Genomic DNA, 16,890 nt, shown 5'->3' on the forward strand with positions numbered 1-16,890 from the left:
TCTACAGGAACTTAGATTTGTGATGAAACCCTAATAGCTTCATAGACTGGAGCCTGAGGGAAATGTGATAGCCTAATTTAAAGTCTTCACATTCAGCCAAACGTGAGCACTCCATTAAGTCCCCATAGCCATAGTTTTGAATATAGCTGGGCTAGATGTCACCATTAGAACACATACAACTCTCCATGTATCACAATGCCCTATGAATAGATAAAGGTAAAGTAAATATGAGAACTGTTATGGGTTGAATTGTGTCCCCCCGAAATGCATGTTTAAACCCCAGTATCTCAGAATGTGAACTCACTTGGAAATGGCATCATAGCTGATATAATTAGCTAAGATATCATCATCATAGAGTAGAGTGGACCCTTGATATTCAGCATGACTGCAGTCCTCATAAGAGGGAAATTTAGACACAGACACAGAGGGGAGAATGTCATGTGATGATAGAGGCAGAGACTAAAGTTCTGCAGTTGCACGCTAAGGAATGCCAAGGACTTCTGGCAAATCACCAGAAGCTAGGAAAGTGTAAGAAAAGATTTTTTGCTCCAAGGTTCATAGCCCCACTAACAACTAGATTTTGAATTTTTAGCCTCCTGAATTGTGAGACAGTAAATCTCTGTTGTTTTAAGCCACACGGTTTGTGTTACTTTGTTTGCAATCCCAGCAAACTAGTACAAGAATCCTTCTTTAAAATTTTCTGGGCATATAGATTAATCAAAAAAAGACTAAAATTAAAGCAGAAAAACTTTTCTTTAATAGTCAAGTTTACATAATTCTATATACTATCTCCAGCCATCGCAAAAATAACTCTTTATAAAAACACAAGAACCAGATATAATAAAAAATGTAAATAATGCTGCTTTTTTGACCTAAAATTTTACTGTGTATAATCTGCAAACCATCTGCAAAGTATAGGTGTCTCCCAAAGAGTCCTTACTTCTGGCACAACTGCAAATTTGATGTTCCCCCAGACCACCCTCAGGTTTAGTAATTTGCTAGATTGACTCACATTATTCAATGAAAACTGTTTTACTCAAAGTTACAGTTTATTACCTTGACATGATATGTATTAAAATCAGAAAAGCAAGAAGCATGTGGGGTGGGAACCAGAAGGTTTCCCAGTGTGGAGCTTCACATTGTCTTCTCCCAGTGAGGTTGTACACACAGAATTTACTTCTCTCAGAAACTATGTGAGACAATACGCATCATAGAATGTTGCCAACCGGGGATGATCACCTGGCGCCAGAGATTTTGTTGGTTATGTCACATAGACATGGTTGACTGCTCACATGGCTGACATTAGTTTCAAGGCCCTCCAGAGGTTCCAGCCTCTCCAAGGCCCCACCATAAATTACACTGTTTGCACAGACCACATGGCATGGGCCAAGACCCCCTGGTAAAAAGAGTTATTCATTACAGGCAGGATTTTATGAAGATTTTGAGATTAGGCCTCCCAGAGGCTGAGGGCAAAATGCCAAACCTTTTGTCAAGGTTAAACCCTTACTGCACAACATCATATATTTGAATTCTTAAAACGCACTATGCTACATTGCTGCCTGGGAGGAACTGCTCTTTCTTTTTAATTAATCCTTATTGATCTTTCAGGTCTATGTCACTCTTGGAGATGTTTTTCCTAACCTAATTAGGTTTAGGTTAATTAGAATTAATTTAGAGGTTAGATCAGACTTTACTTAGTGCTTCAATGATATCATCAACCCATTCTGTCTTCTTCACTCTCTTCAAACTGTTGGCTTATCATCTTTGTCTTTCATTATCACAAAAAGGTGGTTGCCACAGTTACACATAACATCTTCATACTCCAGCAACCTAGCAGAAAGAAAGGGTTGGAGCAATACATTCTCCTTGAGAGGGTACGATTATTCGTCAAAGAAACAATGCTTCACAAAAGTCTCCTTGCCCATAACTGGGTTACATGGCTGCTTATAGCTGCAAGGGAAGTAGGAAAAGTATGTAGCCACCAAAGAGGAGTGGGGTTATTATGACTCCAGGAAAACATTCCCTGGGGATGCCTCAAATGACATTGGCCCTCTGTTAGCAATAGAATTAGAGACAAGAGCTCCTGGAAGGGTGCTTATTGTAACTGTCACATACATTTTTTCACTTAGCTCAGAGGTGAATACTCGGTTAGTCTTCAGCAAATAGTCAATGTATGAATAAATGGAAGGATTAGGTTATAAAGGAAAGAGAGCCAACTTTGGCATCTTTATTAATATAACAACTCTTCCTCTTTTTTCTTATTAATTTTAATGATTTCGGTCGAATTGCTTAATTTGAGCCTAATTTAGCTTCATCTGTAAAATGGTAATATTCCTTTGGAGGATAGCAAGGGTTGAAAGATAATACTGATGTGTGAAAGTGTTGTTTACATATTTGGTATATACTTGATATTTTACAATAAGAAGAAAAATGTAGAACTTATGCTTTTCAATGTATAGCAGTTAAATAAGCAGTATACAAACAAACACGCCTGGGCAGGCCCTGTGTGCTCTCTGTTTACGAGTTAGTTTGCTTTCTGGTGTACACTGATAGGAACAGCCAATCCCACACTAAGATCAAAGCTGCAGGTGCTGGCAGGCAGGTGCTACACTCACCATCTGGAACTTCATTCCTGTTTTAGCTCTTCCTGTCCTTGAACTCATTTAGGTTTAGTAAATCCACTCAGACTATTCCATTTAAAAAATACATTAAATTGATGATAGAAAAATAGGGCAGAGCATAGCTAAATTTTGTCCCACTCACACTGTTGCCACTTTTAATTTTGTCTTCTTTTCATCCAAGATAAACATCTATTCAGAACCATCTTTGGTTAATGTACATGCAGCATTGTTCTGGGCTAATAATGGCTGATTTTCTCAGGAAAACTATTGTATTCAAAATATAAAGGAACTTGACAAAAGTGCTTTATAAAATATTAGATATAATGTTAGCAATTACTCAGTGTGGTGGGCCATAGCCAAACTGTTGCTTGCAAAGCCCTTACCTTAGAAACTTGTGTATGTGAGAAATCCTATGTAATGTGCAAGAGTTTATGTTAAGTTGAAAAATTACAAAACATGTGGCATGGTTATAAATCTAACACCAAGAACACAGAAATGAGGTCTCTGGAACATGGTTTCACTGTTATGGAGAGCCATATGATCTAGCTTACTGGATAAAAGTACTCAGGACAAGCTGATTCCATTTTCCTGACAGGGTATGATGCCCACACTGAATTGTCCTAAGGCCCATAAAACTAGATGTACTGAAGAAGTTAAAGAAGTCACAGAAGAGTTTTTACTACTAAGTATTAAAACTTTTGGCCTATCTTCCTGTATTTAGTATTTTACTTTAAATAACTAAATGTTTGCTGTCATGTTGAATACAAGTCGAAACACCTGATTCTTGCTGAGTCATTAATCCCCTGAAAGTTACTAGGCAGATAATAAAAACTACCTTTATTATAATCACAGTAACAAAACACAGACTCCCAGCTCATATTCAAATACTTTGAAAACAAATTTTCTCTGAAATCATACAATGTTTTCATTTACACAAAATCCTTCTTCTCATAAGCCTGTTGTGTAAACCTGATGCCCTTATAATCACACGCTGAGCATTTGAAGTATTCAGATAAAGAACATTATGGAATTGCAAATCCAAAACAAGTATTACTTTTTGCTTTTAGAGAGGGAGAAAATGTTATTTCTCTTTAATGTAACTTCCAATTAGATTCCTGATGCTATTATAATGTATTTCTAGAAAAAGTCTTAACTTTGGTAAATTTTAAAAATCTTAGTCTGGCATAATATAAAATATACTTTTAGAGAAAGCCATGTTTACTGTTATGGATCTCAAATAAATAATAAATCAGAAGAGAAATTACTCTTTATTATATATTCTATGTACATTAAGCTCTGTAAAATGTACATTGGAGCATAAAGTGAATTTTAGTACTGAATGCTGTATTAGAAAAAAACAGGTAAATTGCATTGTATGCAGTTTCTCTTTTTATTAAAAATTTCCTTTAAAAATTTTCTTAAATAAACTTTTATAGCTAGGTTGATGCCAGTGCAATCCTACAAGCATCCTGAGCACTCTACACACCACAAAACTTTCTTTCAATCTCAGAAATGGCAGAAATATAAGTTGCAAAGTGTGTTACTAATCTGATTCTTAGAATACTGTGCCTTTTGTGCAATAAATGAAAACAATTTTATAAAGTGCATTTTGCAAAAATATATTTCCTCAAGATTCTCAAAGTAGAACACAATTCTGCGGTTCATTAATACCTTTGAAGATTCAACAAATATTAAATTATTAAAGCTTCAATAAACTCTGAAACAAAATATAAAAATTGAAGTTAGTTTAACTTACAGTTTTCCATCTTTAATTTATCCTAGAAACCTTGTTCTCTACCTCAAGTTTAATACTATTCAGCATAATTAAGGTTTCCTAGAATCTTTTCAGAAAAACTAAAGCAAGGTGAATATTAATGAAACTAAAGTTCAAACCAGTTTTATACGCCTGGCAGAACATCAGATAAAAATCCTGTAAGGCTCTATGGGGTAAAGTGTGCTGTATAAGTGTGTCCCTATTTCTGACAGGAAGAAAGATCAGGAACATGAAACCTCTCACTAGTTGTGAGATACTGTGAAAACTTCAGCAAGCTATTTTACTGCATTTGTTTAATTTTGTCTTAAAAGATAGTTACTAACTTATTGTTGAGTTCTTTAGTTGTTTTGATATCTATAATATAATGAAGGTGTAAACTCCTGACATACTCTGTTTTATTATATTATATATTTTGCTAATTTTATGTGATTTTGAAACTCAGTCAATTGTCCCATAGAACTAATGTTTATGGTTTAATAAAAAAAGTAGAAATTAATCTTCCAGTCTTAAGGCTTGAAATATACATTTGTTTTACATGAGTTCCTTTCACAGGAAACCAACCTCAGCCTTCCCTGATACTATCAAGGAACTGAAACTTCTTGTAATTCCTGTTTTCCTAACTGACCACTGGCTTCCTGTTGATCAATTCTTCTTCCTTATTCCTCCCTAAATTTTGTTTTCCCACAGGTAGCTACATTCCTTCCCTGTTATATACTCCCAGTTTTAGTCAGTTAATGAGATAGATTTGAGACTGATCTCCCATCTCTTCAGCTGCAGCACCCAAATAAAGCCTTCTTCCCTGGAAATACACATTGTCTCAGGAATTGGCTTTCTGTGATGTGAGCAACGGGACTTAGACTGAACCTCTGATGTTTTGGTAAAAACAAATTATGGCATCTATGATATTGATGCTATAGTATTAATTTATTAGAATCTTTGATATGGCTCCACGTATTCTTACAGTTTTTATTAACATTAACAAGCAATATAAATATCTTAAAATGTTACCTTTATTATGTATTTTCTCACAAGTGCCACATACCCTGAATATTCTCAACCAGGCAATAACAAAAACTTAAATAGCCTACTTACATAATTTATTTTAATCATACAGCAATATTTTAAAAATATATACTTAGGAAAATTCTGTATGATTCATCATTAGTAAATTTTAAGGTATTTGTCTTTTGTGAGTGTCATCATGGACTTAGGCCCTTATAAAGAATCAACTTGATACAACTGACTGAAATTATTATTTCTTTTCATGAGGCTCAAATTATTATTATTAGGTTGACAGGGACTCTGATAGTCTGACATCCTCATTCTTATTGGTAGTATCTTAGACATATTTGAAATTATCTTTTCATTCTTTCAGTAATGAGAAATCCCTGGATTATCTTGACTTCTTTTGTCTGAAGCATTAATTTTGCTGTCTCATAGTAAGGACAATATTAGAGGTAAAAATTTGAGTGCTATGGTTTGTTGAAAACTCCTATCTAAGTACAGGTGACAGGCAGAGGGACATTAGAAGTTTCAGAATTTCTTTTGTGTCTCATAAAAACATTATTTTATATCATGTTATATTTCATATCTCTAATTTAATTTTAAATTTATATACTTGTTACACCATCCTGCTATAAACTTCATTTAATGCATTTTCCATTTTGTTGAGCTATCTACTTTAAAAAATTAACTTTTTATATCATGTTACCTATTTATCTAGAACTCATTTTTCTAAATATAAAATAATACTAATTAAGTAATTGTTCTTTTTTTTAATTTGTATCACTCAAAGATTTATATGATTACATAGCCAACATGTAGCAATTTTTCAAATTGCTATGGGCTATTTGACATTGAAAATAACTCACAATGCAATTATTTACTAACTTAAAAAACATAATTTGTGTAGATGAGTGGCACAATGTAGTTTCAGTCTAACTATGGTATTAGAGTTAGGCCTAGTGTTAAAATAAGTAGCATTTTAAGTTCAGTTAGGCAGGATTCCAGGGGCACTTAACAAGGTGCAGACTTGAGGCAGCTCCTGCCCATAGTTGTAATGTGTATGTAATGTGTAAGTTGTAATGTGTAATTGGTTGGATATAACCGGAAGTATAAGCATAAGGAAATGATATTAATGATCATACTGAATGATCCAAAATTTCTTCTTCAATTATAACGTCTCTAGAACAAGAAGATAAAAATTCTGGAAAATGGGTGAGAAAACTGATGTTATATAAAGAACAAAGAATTTGGAGGCACATGAAATGGGCCTTAGAATACATCCCAGGCTTGTTTCCAGTTGGCCTTTGATAAAGTGCATATTTGAAATCCTGAAAAATGTCATCACAGACTGGACATGAAGAAACTAGAGAAGAACCACACTGTGGTCTTTCTTTGGCAGGCACGATGATGTGAATAATGAGGACTTTCCTTTGTGAATACTAATGGGAAAGAATGGTCAACATGTAAGTAAATAAATGAAATACATTTGATAACTACTATTAAAGTGAAAAATAGGTGCTAAAAACACACACAGATACACAGAAACAGGAAGATAAATATCAACTTAAATTTAGACAAAAATCCATGGCACTCTGATATATACAGACCCAATTAAACTAAAATCATGATCAAATATCCTATAATGTTAGACGAAGATGAAAGATTTTATTTTACTAATAAATACTTAACTTGGATAATATTCATTATTGCTATGATTAGACTAATTTGAATATTGCTAAAACTCATAAATTCATACAGTGATAATGTGTTGAATTTATGTAATAGTTTGAAATTGCGTATTTTACAAATAGATAATCATCAAGCTTTTTCAAATGCATAATGTTATTAAAAGTAAACTATTAAATCTCTTGTATATGAATGCAACTTTTTCTACAACTATATGAACTCACTGACAGTTTTGTTTGTTTCCAATTGCTTCTTATGTTGATAAATTATTCCTAAAATAGAATTTTCTTAGGTCATGGGTCTTTTCCTCATGAAATGATTTGAAATTTTTATACAATATTAAAGATTGTTTTTGATTAGTTAGCTTCTAGTTGTGTTAGCATTAAATTTTTTTCAAAGGAGAGATATTTTAAAACTTGATTATCTTTCCTATAAAGTCTCTGTGAGTAATGAAAACTGGTACCCAGTTTTATTTCAAAGCAAAATTTTTCATTTCCAATATTACAGCCTATATTGATTTAGAAAAAAAAAGTACTTTGAGTTAAGTGAAAACAGGCAGATAATATCTAATTACATTTATTTAGATATTATTTAGATAATATCTAGATACAGACAAGATTTTGGCACTTTACTTTTATTTGGAGAAAAATGTGTCATTCCAGGAAAGCTTTAATAATGGAATAACGTATTATGCGAAATCAGAAAAGGCTGGCAAGAAAATAATACGCCAAAAATAGTATTTTTATAGTGACCTGACTACGAAATAACAGACATTTTCCTGAGAAGAAAAGCTAGCTCCAAGATGATGTAATCACGCTTTTGAATAAAACGCCAGATATATTTAAAGGGGAAAGTAATACATTTGTAATAAAGTAAAAATCTGATCTTTCCATTTGAGAGGGAAAAGAACACAGTGCAGTGAGGCTGGGAGGCCATCCTAACTAGTTGTATTCAGATTTATTCAGATCTAAATTTCGAAAATGAAAGGTAATTCAGGGAATGGTTTTCACCATCACTTTGCAAGATGTAATTTATATAATGTGCTAGATATCAAAAGTTAACGGTATGTTGATCTTATCCTCTTCAGTGTTAATTTGTATTAGTTGAGTGGCTAGGTTTGCTCCTAGAAGACGTTTATTTCCACACAGCCCTTTGATTTCAATGAATCCTCAGAAATTGTTCCAGGTGCTTAATTTAGAGGTGGGTGGGCTGTTCTTTTAAGATGGTAGTTGTTGAAGCTATTATTAACAGCTGTTTTTAATGAAATACTTTAAAAATTATGTTTCCAACACCTATCATATTGAATATTTAGGGAGTAAAGTTTGGGAGAAATAAAATGAGTACTTCTTGGCAAAGTGAAACAACCTCACAAAATTTATTTGATCTGAGAGATAATGCCAACCTAAGATAAAATACTAAAAAATAGAGGGTGAATTTATCGATGAGAGAGCCAAAGCAGAACATCGAAAAGTACCAGGGTATTTATGAGGGGACTTTTACCTGAATTTTGCTGTTGAATAGGCTACATATAAGGTCAGAGTATGGGGATAGAAAATAAACAGTAATAAAAATAGCTTTCTTTAAGCAGTAATGGTGTCAAATGCCTACCAAGCACATAAGGCGTATTTCACAGATAGGAAAACTGGTCTTAGGGAATGTAGGTAACTTGTCCAAGGAGCAAAGTGGTTGACGCAGTAAAGGAAAAGTTTGTAATTTCTTAGGTTGGCACGATTTCCATGAAATATAATTGATTTTATACCTGATTAAATTTTGAAAGCAGGATAGGAATTTCCAGATTTTCTTCACATAACCTCAACCTTACTTGAGATGGCTGTAAGAATTTCATGATCTGGTCTATAGCCTCTGCCTTTCTTAATAGATCTTTATGTTCAAAGTCATAGATTATTCCCCAGAAACAAATAGCCTGTTGTACCCTTAAAAAAAATGACGCTGAGAATGACAGTCCTTCCCTTCTGAAACCACACAGCCAAATAAGTAACTATGCTGATGATATCAGTCTATCTTGTACCACCATATGTTGACTTTTACATCTCATGCATTATGCTAAAAATAAATATTTATACACATCATTTTAATCTTCATAGTGACTTTGCAAAAAGGCACACATTTTAGTATTTCATGAAGAAATTGAGGTTGAGAAATGTAACACATTCTTTTTTTTCTTTTCATTTTTGTTGTGTTTATTTATATATATATATATTTTTTAATTATACTTTAAGTTCTAGGGTACCTGTGCACAATGTGCAGGTTTGTTACATATGTATACATGGGCCATGTTGGTGTGCTGCACCCATTAACTCATCATTTACATTAGGTATATCTCCTAATGCTATCCCTCCCCCCTCCCCCCACCCCACAACAGGCCCCGGTGTGTGATGTACCCTTCCTATGTCCAAATGTCCTCATTGTTCAATTCCCACCTATGACTGAGAACATGCGCTGTCTGGTTTTTTGTCCTTGCAATAGTTTGCTGAGAATGGTGGTTTCCAGCTTCATCCATGTCCCTACAAAGGACATGAACTCATCCTTTTTTATGGCTGCATAGTATTCCATGGTGTATATGTGCCACATTTTCTTAATCCAGTCTATCATTGTTGGACATTTAGGTTGGTTCCAAGTCTTTGCTATTGTGAGTAGTGCCGCAATGAACATACATGTGCATGTGTCTTTATAGCAGCATGATTTATAGTCCTTGGGTATATACCCAGTAATGGGATGGCTGGATCAAATGGAATTTCTAATTCTAGATCCCTGAGGAATCGCCACACTGTCTTCCACAATGGTTGAACTAGTTTACAGTCCCATCAACAGTGTAAAAGTGTTCCTATTTCTCCACATCCTATCCACACCTATTATTTCCTGACTTTTTAATGATTGCCATTCTAACTGATCTGAGACGGTATCTCATTGTGGTTTTGATTTGCATTTCTCTGATGGCCAGTGATGATGAGCATTTTTTCATGTGTCTGTTGGCTGCATAAATGTCTTCTTTTGAGAAGTGTCTGTTCATATCCTTCACCCATTTTGATGGGGTTGTTTGTTTTTTTCTTGTAAATTTGTTTGAGTTCTTTGTAGATTCTGGATATTAGCCCTTTGTCAGATGAGTGGATTGCAAAAATTTTCTCCCATTCTGTAGTTGCCTGTTCACTCTGATGGTAGTTTCTTTTGCTGTGCAGAAGCTCTTTAGTTTAATTAGATCCCATTTGTCAATTTTGGCTTTTGTTACCATTGCTTTTGGTGTTTTAGACATGAAGTCCTTGCCCATGCCTATGTCCTGAATGGTATTGCCTAGGTTTTCTTCTAGGGTTTTTATGGTTTCAGGTCTAACATTTAAGTGTTTAATCCATCTTGAATTAATTTTAGTATAAGGTGTAAGGAAGGGATCCAGTTTCAGCTTTCTCCATATGGCTAGCCAGTTTTCCCAGCACCATTTATTAAATAGGGAATCCTTTCCCCATTTCTTGTTTTTCTCAGGTTTGTCAAAGATCAGATGGTTGTAGATGTGTGGTATTATTTCTGAGGGCTCTGTTCTGTTCCATTGGTCTATATCTCTGTTTTGGTACCAGTACCATGCTGTTTTGTTTACCGTAGCCTTGTAGCATAGTTTGAAGTCAGGTAGCGTGATACCTCCGGCTTTGTTCTTTTGGCTTAGGATTGTCTTGGCTATGCGGGCTATTTTTGGTTCCATATGAACTTTAAAGTAGTTTTTTCCAATTCTGTGAAGAAAGGCATTGGTAGCTTGATGGGGATGGCATTGAATCTATAAATTACCTTGGGCAATATGGCCATTTTCACGATATTCATTCTTCCTACCCATGAAAATGGAACGTTCTTCCATTTGTTTGTATCCTCTTTTATTTCCTTGAGCAGTGGTTTGTAGTTCTCCTTGAAGAGATCCTCCACATCCCTTGTAAGTTGGATTCCTAGGTATTTTCTTCTCTTTGAAGCAACTGTGAGTGGGAATTCACTCATGATTTGGCTCTCTGTTTGCCTGTTATTGGAGTATAAGAATGCTTGTGATTTTTGCACATTGATTTTGTATCCTGAGACTTTGCTGAAGTTGCTTATCAGCTGAAGGAGATTTTGGGCTGAGATGATGGGGTTTTTTAGATATACAATCATGTCATCTGCAAACAGGGACAATTTGACTTCCTCATTTCCTAACTGAATACCCTTTATTTCCTTCTCCTGCCTGATTTCCCTGGCCAGAACTTCCAATAGGAAGTGGTGAGGAACTTCCAATAGGAATAGGAGTGGTGAGAGAGGGCATCCCTATCTTGTGCCAGCTTTCAAAAGGAATGCTTCCAGGTTTTGCCCATTCAGTATGATATTGGCTGTGGGTTTGTCATAAATAGCTCTTATTATTTTGAGATACATCCCATCAATACCTAATTTATTGAGAGTTTTTAGCATGAAGGGCTGTTGAATTTTGTCAAAGGCCTTTTCTGCATCTATTGAGATAATCATGTGGTTTTTGTCTTTGGTTCTGTTTCTATGCTAGATTATGTTTATTGATTTTCATATGTTGAACCAGCCTTGCATCCCAGGGATGAAGCCCACTTGATCATGGTGGATTAGCTTTTGATGTGCTGTTGGATTTGGTTTGCCAGTATTTTACTGAGAATTATTTCATCGATGTTCATCAGGGTTATTGGTCTAAAATTCTCTTTTTTTGTTTTGTCTCTGCCAGGCGTTGGTATCAGGATGAGGCTGGCCTCATAAAATGAGTTAGGGAGGATTCCCTCTTTTTCTATTGATTGGAATAGTTTCAGAAGGAATGGTACCAGCTCCTCCTTGTACCTCTGGTAGAATTTGGCTGTGAATCCATCTGGTCCTGGACTTTTTTTGGTTGGTAAGCCATTAATTATTGCCTGAATTTCAGAGCCCATTATTGGTCTATTCAGGGATTCAACTTCTTCCTTGTTTAGTCTTGGGAGGGTGTATGTGTCGAGGAATTTATCCATTTCTTCTAGATTTTCTAGTTTATTTGCATAGAGGTGTTTATAGTATTCTCTGATGGTAGTTTGTATTTCTGTGGGATTGGTGGTGATATCCCCTTTATCATTTTTTATTGCATCTATTTCATTCTTGTCTCTTTTCTTCTTTATTCGTCTTGCTAGCAGTCTATCAATTTTGTTGATCTTTTCACAACAACAGCTCCTGGATTCATTGATTTTTGAAGGGATTTTTGTGTCTCTATCTCCTTCAGTTGTGCTCTGATCTTAGTTATTTCTTGCCTTCTGCTAGCTTTTCAATGTGTTCACTCTTCCTTCTCTAGTTCTTTTAATTGTGATGTTAGGGTGTCAATTTTAGATCTTTTCTGCTTTCTCTTGTGGGCATTTAGTGCTATAAATTTCACTCTACACACTGCTTTACATGTATCCCAGGGATTCTGGTATGTTGTGTCTTTGTTCTCCTTGGTTTCAAAGAACATCTTTATCTTTGCCTTCATTTCATTATGTACCCAGTGGTCATTGAGGAGCAGGTTGTTCAGTTTCCATGTAGTTTAGCGGTATTGAGTTAGTTTCTTAATTCTGAGTTCTAGTTTGATTTCACTGTGGTCTGAGAGACAGTTTTTTACAATTTCTGTTGTTTTACATTTGCTGAGGAGTGCTTTACTTCCAACTATGTGGTCAATTTTGGAATAGGAGTGGTGTGGTGCTGAGAAGAATGTATATTCTGTTGATTTGGGGTGGAGAGTTCTTAGATGTCTATTAGGTCCTCTTGGTGCAGAGCTGAATTCAGTTCCTGGATATCCTTGTTAACTTTCTGTCTCGTTGATCTGTCTAATGTTGACAGTGGGGTGTTAAAGTCTCCCATTTTTATTGTGTGGGAGTCTAAGTCCCTTTGTAGGTCTCCAAGGACTTGCTTTATGAATCTGGGTGGTCCTGTATTGGGTGCATATATATTTAGGATAGTTAGCTCTTCTTGTTGAATTAATCCCTTTACCATTATGAAATGGCCTTCTTTGTCTCTTTTGATCTTTGTTGGTTTAAAGTCTGCTTAATCAGAGACTAGGATTGCAACCCCTGCTTTTTTTTGCTTTCCATTTACTTGGTTGATCTTCCTCCATCCCTTTTTTTTTGAGCCTATGTGTGTCTCTGCACATGAGATGGGTTTCCTGAATACAGCACACTGATGGGTCTTGACTCTTTATCCAATTTGCCAGTCTGTGTCTTTTATGTGGAGCATTTAGCCCATTTACATTTAAAGTTAATATTGTTATGTGTGAATTTGATCCTGTCCTGTCAGTATGATGTTAGCTGGTATTTTGCTCATTATTTGATGCAGTTTCTTCGTAGCATTGATGGTTTTTACAATTTGGCATGTTTTTGCAGTGGCTGGTACCGGTTTTGGGGGGTGGTTCCAAGATGGCCGAATAGGAACAGCTCTAGTCTACAGCTCCCAGTGTAAGCCACGCAGAAGACGGGTGATTTCTGCATTTCCAACTGAGGTACTGGGTTCATCTCACTGGTGCTTGTCGGACAGTAGGTGCAGGACAGTGGGTGCAGTGCACCAAGCATGAGCCAAAGCAGGGCAAGGCATCGCCTCACTCAGGAAGCGCAAGGGGTCAGGGAATTCCCTTTCATAGCCAAGCAAACTGTGACAGACGGCACCTGGAAAATCGCATCACTCCCACCCTAATACTGATCTTTTCCAATGGTCTTAGCAAATGGCACACCAGGAGATTGTATTCCATGCCTGGCTCGGAGGGTCCCACGCCCATGGGGCCTCACTCATTGCTAGTACAGCAGTCTGAGATCGAACTGCAAGGCAGCAGTGAGGCTGGGGAAGGGGTGCCAGGCTTGAGTAGGTAAACAAAGTGGGTGGGAAGCTCGAACTGGGTGGAGCCCACCGCAGCTCAAGAAGGCCTGCCTGCCTTTGTAGACTCCACCTCTGGGGACAGGGCATAGCCAAACAAAAGGCAGCAGAAACCTCTACAGACTTAAATGTCCCTGTCTGACAGCTTTGAAGAGAGTAGTGGTTCTCCCAGCACGGAGTTTGAGATCTGAGAACGGACAGACTGCCTCCTCAAGTGGGTCCCTGACCCTGAGTAGCCTATCTGGGAGGCACCCCCCTTTAGGGGCAGACTGACACCTCACACAGCCAGGTACCCCTCTGAGAGGAAACCTCCAGAGGAACGATCAGACAGCAACATTTGCTGTTCAGCAATATTCGCTGTTCTGCAGCCTCTGCTGCTGATACCCAGGCAAACAGGGTCTGGAGTAGACCTCCAGCAAACTCCAACAGACCTGCAGCTGAGGGTCCTGACTGTTAAAAGGAAAACTAACAAGCAGAAAGTACATCCACACCAAAAACCCATCTGTACGTCACCATCATCAAAGACCAAAGGTAGATAAAACCACAAAGATGAGGAAAAAACAGAACAGAAAAACTAAAAATTCAAAAAATCAGAGCACCTCTCCTCTTCCAAAGGAACACAGCTCTTCACCAGTAATGGAACAAAGCTGGATGGAGAATGACTTTGACAAGTTGAGAGATGAAGGCTTCAGACGATCAAACTTCTCGGAGCTAAAGGAGGAAGTTCGAACCCATTGCAAAGAAGTTAAAAACCTTGAAAAAAGATTAGGTGAATGGCTAAATAGAATAACCAATGCAGAGAAGTCCTTAAAGGACCTGATGGAGCTGAAAACCATGGCACGAGAACTACATGATGAATGCACAAGCTTCAGTAGCCGATTAGATCAACTGGAAGAAAGGGTATCAGTGATTGAAGATCAAATGAACGAAATGAAGTGAGAAGAGAAGTTTAGAGAAAAAGGAATAAAAAGAAATGAACAAAGCCTCCAAGAAATATGGGACTATGTGAAAAGACCAAATCTATGTCTGATTGGTGTACCTGAAAGTGACGGGGAGTATGGAACCAAGTTGGAAAACACTCTGAAGGATATTATCCAGGAGAACTTCCCCAACCTAGCAAGGCAGGCCAACATTCAAATTCAGGAAATACAGAGAACACCACAAAGATATTCCTTGAGAAGAGCAACTCCAAGACACATAATTGTCAGATTCATCAAAGTTGAAATGAAGGAAAAAATTTTAAGGGCAGCTGGAGAGAAAGGTCAGGTTACCCACAAAGGGAAGCCCATCAGACTAACAGCTGATCTCTCGGCAGAAACTCTACAAGCCAGAAGAGAGTGGGGGCCAATATTCAACATTCTTAAAGCAAAGAATTTTCAACCCAGAATTTCATATCCAGCCAAACTAAGCTTCATAAGTGAAGGAGAAATAAAATACTTTACAGACAAGCAAATGTTGAGAGATTTTGTCACCACCAGGTCTGCCCTACAAGAGCTCCTGAAGGAAGAAACGTAACACTTTCAAAGTCACATGGCAAATCAGTGGCAGAGCTATCATGATTTATCCACAAGCTGGGAAAGAAAAAGAAATAATGAAGTAAACTGACTGTATTAGTCCATTTTCACACTGCTATAAGTAAATACCCAATACTGGGCAATTTATAAGTAAAAAGGTTTAATTTACTCACAGTTCTGCAGGCTTAAAAGGAAGCATGGTTTGAGCGTTTCAGAAAACTTACAATCATGGCAGAAGGTGAAGGGGAAGCAAGGCATGTCTTCTCATGGCGGCTGGAGACTGAAAGAGTAAAGGGGGAAGTATCATACAATTTCAAAATATCAGATCTTGTAAGAACTGACTCACTGCCACGAGAAGAAAAAGGGGAAGTCCACCCCATGGTTCAGTCAACTCCCAACAGGCTTTTCTCCCAACATGTGGGGATTACAATTTGGGATGAGATTTTGTTGGAGACACAGAGCCAAATGGTATCACTAGCATTATTCCTTTTTTGAATACAAAGTTGGTCTAATTATGCTCTGTGTCTTGCTTCTGTCTTTTTGTTTAGATAAGAACTACAACCTATGTTCTTACAATCATTGTACAATTCTCAGTTGATCAATTAAAATATGCTTACTATACCAACTTCTGTATAATATTTTCTTTTTGCTTTAATTTTTCATTCATATAAAAGATTATTTAAAACAGTACCCACTTCCATATCCCTGGATATGTCTGAAATGGATATACTTTTACTCTATATTTAAATAATATGGAGTATACACGAAATATATATTTACATAATAGATGTTTATGTTTTCATATACACACATGGAATTTAAATGACTTTCTAGATGATCAGACTGAATTATAGTGATTTTCAGTTAGGAGACTTATCTGGTAAAATATGGCAATTTTGATAATGGGTTGAATTCTGTCCCCTCCAAATTCAGAAACTGAAGTCCTAACATCCAATACCCCAGAATGTGATTTTATTTGGAAACAGAGCCATGGCAGATGTAATTACTCAAGTTATCATGAGGTCATACTGATGTAGCATGGGCTCCAAATCAATAGGATTGGCATCCTTATACAAAGGGTAAATTTAGACACAGAAAAATGTACACAGGGAGAATGACATGTGAACATGAAAGCAGAGATGAGGGGATGAATCTACAAGACAAGAGGTACCAAAGGTTGCCAGCAAACTAACAGAGACTGAGAGAGGCATGGAACAGATTCTCCCCGACAGCCTCAGAAAAAAAAAAACAACTCGGTTAAAACGTTGATCTTGAACTTCTAGCCTCCAGAAATGTGAAACAATAAATTTCTATTTTTTAAGCCATGCAATTTGTCGTATTTTGTTATGGCAGCCTCGGAAAACTAACACAGTAAGCCTTACTCTAAGATATGGTGCTGACTGTTAAGGTTTGGCTTTTTCAGTTTCCAAGGATATTTAAAGAGGTT

At 36.4% G+C, this 16,890-nt stretch overlaps 1 long non-coding RNA gene across 3 annotated transcripts in view; it reads right to left on the reverse strand.

The window, feature by feature from the left end:
* Nucleotides 1-10,143: 10,143 nt before the first annotated feature.
* LOC105379102 (uncharacterized) overlaps nucleotides 10,144-16,890 on the reverse strand; it is a 328,753-nt gene continuing 322,006 nt past the window's right edge. The window contains exon 6 of one of the 3 annotated variants that reach the window (XR_007058891.1): nucleotides 10,144-15,723. This is a non-coding gene — a long non-coding RNA (uncharacterized LOC105379102). The remainder of the gene's footprint in view (nucleotides 15,724-16,890) is intronic. The other 2 variants (XR_948628.3, XR_001742829.2) reach the window with 2 other exon arrangements.

The sequence above is a fragment of the Homo sapiens genome, chromosome 5 (assembly GCF_000001405.40).
Source record: "Homo sapiens chromosome 5, GRCh38.p14 Primary Assembly".
Taxonomy (NCBI): Eukaryota; Metazoa; Chordata; class Mammalia; order Primates; family Hominidae; genus Homo; species Homo sapiens.